Raw genomic sequence first — 6,186 nt, 5'->3', positions numbered from 1 at the left:
GAAGCGAGCCCTTCTCACAGTTTGTTTCTCTCCATTTGTCTTTATTTGTCATCCGTTTTTTGCTTAATGGTCTTCCCCTTGCCTCCTCTCCTCCTGTGCTCACTGCACTTCCTTAGTGTGCCTGGGGCCTTGGGGTACAGAAGGGTGCCTTGAAGAACCTGGCAGGTAAGAGGCAGCTCCCTACCCAAGGCTGTGTGATGGGACCACTCTCCTGCTCCCCTTTCTGACCTGCTCCACGCGGGATGGTAGCTTCCCTCCTGATTTCACCTCTGCAGGGGCAACCAATTCTGGAGAACTAGGCTGAGGGCTGCTATAACTGCCTGAGGTCCAAAGGGCCTTTAAACCCCCTGGGCTCCTCAGTTTGTGGGTACTAAGGGGGTGATAATTCAACAGTCACTAATCTGTGTGTCACCCCTCATCTGCAAAACACACCCCACCAATCCTCCAAGATTCCCAGTGTTGGCTGTCCTCAAAGCCATTTAGGGGTTGACTTCCCTACTGCCTTTCTGGAAAGAGATGCTCCAGGAGCTGCCAACTCTGGTGGGCCGTGCACGCAGCCCACCGTCCCTAAAGACCACCGCCATGCACACAGCCCTCCCTCCCTAAAGCCCTCCCTGAAGTCCATGTGTAGGATGGGCAAGGCACCACTGGGGGTCACAGTGTACAATATGATTTGTGATCCACACAGGGTGCTGAGCCAAGGCAGGAGAGAGAAGGGCTGAACCCCGTGCTGAACCATGGGTCTTCTGGCCTCCCCTCCTGGAGGGGAAGCCTTATTATAGTTTGCACAACAGCATTTTATAATTCATACAAAAGCTAGCCTTTGCCCTCGTCGCCATTCTGATTACATGCTGTGTCCTGGGCCCCAAAGTCGCCTTGCCTATGTTCCCGTGACTCAGGACATCCTGGTGAAAACTGCTCCTTCAGTGTCCACCCTCGGGCCTCATGCGGAGGGTACAAGACGCACACTTGTCCACCAAACAGGTAGTGACCAGGATGAACACCTGAGACAGAGCAGCTCTGCGCCATCCACCCCACTGTGCAAAGCACTTTCCTCAGCCTCCTCGAGCGACTCCTCTATCTGAACCAACAGCCTGCACTTCACCTCACCATAAACTTAAAACCTCATGTCACAGAGGAAGAATACTGTCCAGCTTTGTGCCCGGAGAAGCCTGTAAAATGAAAGGCCCCATTGATGGGTCCGGGGGCCCAGCTGCACCTGGCGCGTGGGAGAAGCAGCTGAGGGAGGCACGAGGAACTCAGTGTTCTTCAGGGTGGTCTAAAAGGTCTCGGAGCAGAGGGTGACAGGAATGGAGGAGTGGGCTGCAGGGGTCCACTGGTTGACCACAGGCATGTCTGTGGACTGGAGGTGACAACTAGGAAGGGAATGGGTAACAGCTCAGGTATAAGAGGAGGCCAGGACTGAGTCCAGCCCTGACTGTTCTACCCGCAGGTTTGAAGTACAAAACCAGAAAGCAGAGTCTGTGTGTAACTCATTGGAAGGCAAAGCCCGCCCTGAACCGAGGCTATTTATAGTCTTTTATTTATCCCGCTTGGTGTGAATATTCATGCCTCTGTCTGCAGAGGTATCAAGGTGCCTGATTGCAGGGAGTTGCCCAGCAAGGGCTGGGATGGGACATACCACAGGGGATAAGCGTCACATCATTGTTCTAAAATCAAACCCTTCCAAATTCTAAGACACCTTGGGCCCCCCAGGTTCTGGATGAGGAGCTGTGGGCCTGTGACATGTGGATGCACTGTGTGAGGGGTGGCCTTGGGGACAGAAGGGGAGGAAAGAGGGGACTGGACCTGGGAATGAGGAAGAGGACCAGGGACAAAGGGCGGGGGTGGGGGGTGCTCAGTCTTTGTGACTGGAGGGCGGGGCAGGAGCTGTTTTTTACTTTTCCAGGAATGGTGATGAGTCCAGTTAGACATTTTCTATCAGAGACCGTATTAGAAAGGGACCTCGGACTGCCCTCTCTCCCCCGAGAAAACAGGTGTGCATGGCAGAAGAGGTCTGGGCCAGGCCTCTGGAAGATCTGCTGGGGTCATGACTGTTGGGTGACCTGTGGCTCAGGGGGCTAGGTTTGTGACTGCTGTCCCACCCGTCCTGGCTACAGGCCTGTCCTTGGCCTCTCTGGTGTGGTGGGGCCATCCCAAATGCAGGGCTTCGTGGAAAACAGATCAGTGCGTGAGGACAGCAAAGCCCTCCAGATGGTTTGATCCCACGCCCTGAGAAACAGCTGGCAGAGGCAACACAGGTGGGGTATCCAGCAGCCTGGAAAGGAGGAAGGTCCACCTGGAAAGGAGGAATGTTCACCAGGAACCCCCAGAAGAACTCAAAGAGCTAAAAAGGGTGTGCTGTGGAGGACAAGGGAGTGGGGAGGGCGTGGGAGAGAAGGAGCCTCACAGAGCAGGAGGCAGGGTTGCAGTGGCTGACAACTGGACTCTGGCCTTGGGTGCACTCCTGGCTCCCTGCTGACTGGCTGTGTCGTTTCAGACAAGATGCTTGACCCTCTGTGTCTTATCCTCTGAAATGGAGATACTAAGTGTCCTAACCTTATAGGGTTGTCCGTGAGGAGGACAGGAATTAGTATTTGTAAATGCATATAGTGGTGCTGGGAACACATTTTATTCTATCAAAATGAAGAGTCCAGCCATAAAAAGGAATGAGTTCTGCTACATGTTACAACATGGATGAACACTGAAAACATTATCCTAAGGGAAATAAGCCAGAGACAAAACAACAAATATGATTCCATTTATGAAATACCTAGGGCAGCAAATTCACAGAGACAGAAAGTAAATTCTATGAATAGGTTACCAAGGAGCTGGGGGGAGGGAGGAACGGGGAGTTATGGGTTAATGGAGACAGAGTTTCTGTTTCAGGTGAAAAGTTTTGGCATAGATAGTGATGATGGTTCTACAGTATAGTGAATGTGATTAATGCCACTGAATTGTGTACTTCAAAATGTTAAAATGACAAATTTTATGTTATATATATTTTAACACAATTTGGAAAAATTGAGAATGTAATATACCAAAACCCATTGAATTATATGCTTTAAGTGGATAAATTATATTGCAATACACTGTTTAAAAAAAGAAAAGGAAGAGAGGAGAAAAAGGGCCTGGTGAGGAGGGTTAGAGAGCCTTCCCCTGCGCACCTGTCTTCCTTCACACCTGAGACCACTATTGTTCCAGCTTTTATGGGTTTACAGCCTGGAAAGTGGCCTTGCCCTTTGTCCTCACGCAACCCATGTGAGGTGGGCATTGAAATATCGTTATTCGCGCTTTCAGGTGAGAAACTAAGGCCCTGAAAGGTTGAGTGACTTTCTCAGGTGGTGATTTTGGCTTTTTCACTCTCTGGGGTCTTTCCAGTGACCCACAGCTCTCAAACGTGAGCACCTGCGAGATTCACTCTGCACTTGTTTGGAAAATCAGTGTCTGATCCTCTCCTCGGGACTGCTCTGAGCGGATGGGGCCCAGGACCTGTAGCTCAGTGGGTCACACGTTGGAAAACAAGGCTTCAAGGAATGCTCTTTTCAGAACTAGGATGAAATTCTTCACAACGGGCCCTCTGCCTCCCCATCCTACACAGCCTGCCACCCCTGAACATTTTCCAGCTACAGTGCACTGCGAGGCAGGGGCAGGGACTCTGCAGAGAGGCTGGAAAGTGCCCAGACGCCAAGTCAAATGGCTGGGATACTCCAGTCCCTGGTCCCCTCACGGTGAGCTCCGCAGGAGGCTGTTCCTTTCTCTACCTCCCCTGAGGGACAGGCAGTACCTTGCTGTCGGGATGCAAAAGTTTTAAAAAAGTTTTCCCCAAAGAATATTCTAGAGTTGCATTGGATCTTAGGATCTTAGAGAATATCCAAACATCCAGTCCTTTACAGGAAGAGAAACTGAGGCAAAGCAAGGGAAAGCGGCTCCAGACCTGACTTCCAGGTGCCTTCTAAATTTGATATCACTGCTTCCCACCAGCCAGCCCCCATCACTGCCTCCCCCTCCTCATTCCAGGCCAGAAAAATTCTCCTTCCTGAGGACTCACACTTTTTAAATATTTGGAGACTGTTGTCATGTCACCCTGTGGCTGTTGCTTAGCCCAGCAATCCAGCAATGGATAGGTGGGCGGTCCTCAGGGGAGCCGGCCACAGGGAAGGGCCTCTTGCCACCTAGACATGGACCTGGAGCTGCCCCTCCACTCTGAGCCTGGATGCTGAGCATGGGGCCACCCAGGGGTTCCCGAAGCCCCTTCACACAGCTGAGGAAGTTGGAGGAATGTGGTCGATGGATCTAGGCTACAGGCAATGGAGTCCAGCTCTTGTGTGATCTTGGGCCTCAGTTTCCCCATCTGTACTCCAGGATAACAATCTCCATCTTAAAGGTAGGTCAGAGCTAGGACCTCCACAGTTACCCTGACCTTGTGTACATGTAGTATATTCTGATCCCCAAAGTGGGATGAGTGTGACAAAGCAATTTAGGGGGACAATGAGGGGAGATCATTTGAAATTGAATTTTTCTTGAAAAGTCCATCATGTACAGTTTGGTTGTTGTGCCCCTTGGTGAAAAAGGTATTTAATTATAATTATTAACCAACAAAAGTAATTTTCACTTATTCAGCATGTTATAGTTTAGTTCATATATTTTCTTTTAATTCCTACATGTATTAAGGCAAATATTATTATTATTACTGTTATTATTCTTGAGATTCTCATTTTACAGATGAGAAAATTGAGCTCAGAAAGGTTAATTGACTACCAAGGGAATCTAGTGGGAAGTACTAGGACTAAATATCCAAGTCTTATCTTTAAGACAAGTTAAAGCTTTCCTCAAATTATTCTATCTTAAAACAAGGAAGATGTTACTTTCTTTCCTACCAAACCCATTGCCTTGTGAAGATTTTATGCTTTCCAAAATCAGAATTAGCATGAGAAATAAATTATAGTATACTCATATGATGGTGTAATATATAATAGTACAAATCAATACCCTAAAGCTACATATATCAACATGGATGAGATGGAGGGAACATATGTTGAGTGAGAGAAGTGAGTTACAGAAGAATATACAAACAGTATGTTATCATTTTATGTTTAAAAGAGGTGAATCAGTGCCATATTTTAAAAATAATAGTATGTGGGCCGGGTGCAGTGGCTCATGCCTGTAATCCTAGCACTTTGGGAGGCTGGGACAGGCAGATTGCTTGAGCCCAGGAGTTTGAGGCCAGCCTGGGCAACATAGTGAGTCCCCATCTCTACAAAAAATAGGAAAAGTAGCCAGGCATAGTGGTGCATGCCTGTAGTCCCGGCTACTCAGGAGGCTGAGGCAAGATGATTGCATGAGCTGGGGAGATGGAGGTTGCAGTGAGATGTGATGGGGCCACTGCACTCCAGCCTATGCGACAGAGTGAGACCCTGTCTCTACAATTAAAAGAAGAAGAACAGTATGTGCTTACCATACAACCCAGCAATTGCAGTCTTGACCATTCACACCAGAGGAATGAAAACTTATGTTTACACAAAACCTCTACACAGAGGTTCCTGGTAGCTTTATTTGTAATAGACCCAAACTGGAAACAACTCAAGTGTCCTTCAAAAGGTGAATGCTTAAATAAACTGTAGGCATCCATACAGTGGAATAACAGAATACAGCAATATAAAAAGAACAAACCGTTGATACATGCAACAAGTTAGGTGGACCTCAAGACTATTATGCAAAGTGAAAAAAGCCAGTCTCAAAAGATTATATACTGTATGGTTCCATTTTTATGACTTGGAGTGGCAAAATTACAGAAATGGAGAACAGGTTAGTAGTTGCTCAGGGCTGGGGAGCAGCCCTTTTACTGTTTGTAAAAGGGATCCTTGTGACAACTGTTCTATACCTTGGCTGTGGTGGTGGTCACACGAATCTACATGAGATAAAATTGTGTAGAACAAAATATGGACATGTAAGAACTGGTGAAATCTGAATAAGCTCAGTGGGTGGTATCAAGACAATTTTCTAGTTGTGATATTGTGCTATAGTTTTGTAAGATCCTACCGTTTCATGAAACTGGGTGAAAGGTATATGGGCTCTCTATATTTTTCTTACATCTGCATGTGAATATGTAATATCTCAAGATAAAAAGTTTTAAAAAAATAGTGTGAAGGGTAGACACATGAGGCCTGGCCCAGTGGTTCACAT

At 47.6% G+C, this 6,186-nt stretch overlaps 2 annotated features.

Annotated features, from left to right (window-relative positions):
- Positions 3,639-4,138: an enhancer, noted in NCBI's record as "H3K4me1 hESC enhancer chr1:175830047-175830546 (GRCh37/hg19 assembly coordinates)". NCBI's record gives its function as "activates a minimal SCP1, AML or CMV promoter by ChIP-STARR-seq in naive H9 embryonic stem cells {active_cell/tissue: H9 hESC(naive)}" and the evidence as "EXISTENCE:reporter gene assay evidence [ECO:0000049][PMID:30033119]".
- Positions 4,139-4,640: an enhancer, noted in NCBI's record as "H3K4me1 hESC enhancer chr1:175829545-175830046 (GRCh37/hg19 assembly coordinates)". NCBI's record gives its function as "activates a minimal SCP1, AML or CMV promoter by ChIP-STARR-seq in naive H9 embryonic stem cells {active_cell/tissue: H9 hESC(naive)}" and the evidence as "EXISTENCE:reporter gene assay evidence [ECO:0000049][PMID:30033119]".

The sequence above is a fragment of the Homo sapiens genome, chromosome 1, assembly GCF_000001405.40.
Source record: "Homo sapiens chromosome 1, GRCh38.p14 Primary Assembly".
In the NCBI taxonomy this organism is placed as follows: Eukaryota; Metazoa; Chordata; class Mammalia; order Primates; family Hominidae; genus Homo; species Homo sapiens.
This window is presented reverse-complemented; position numbering and strand designations above follow the sequence as displayed.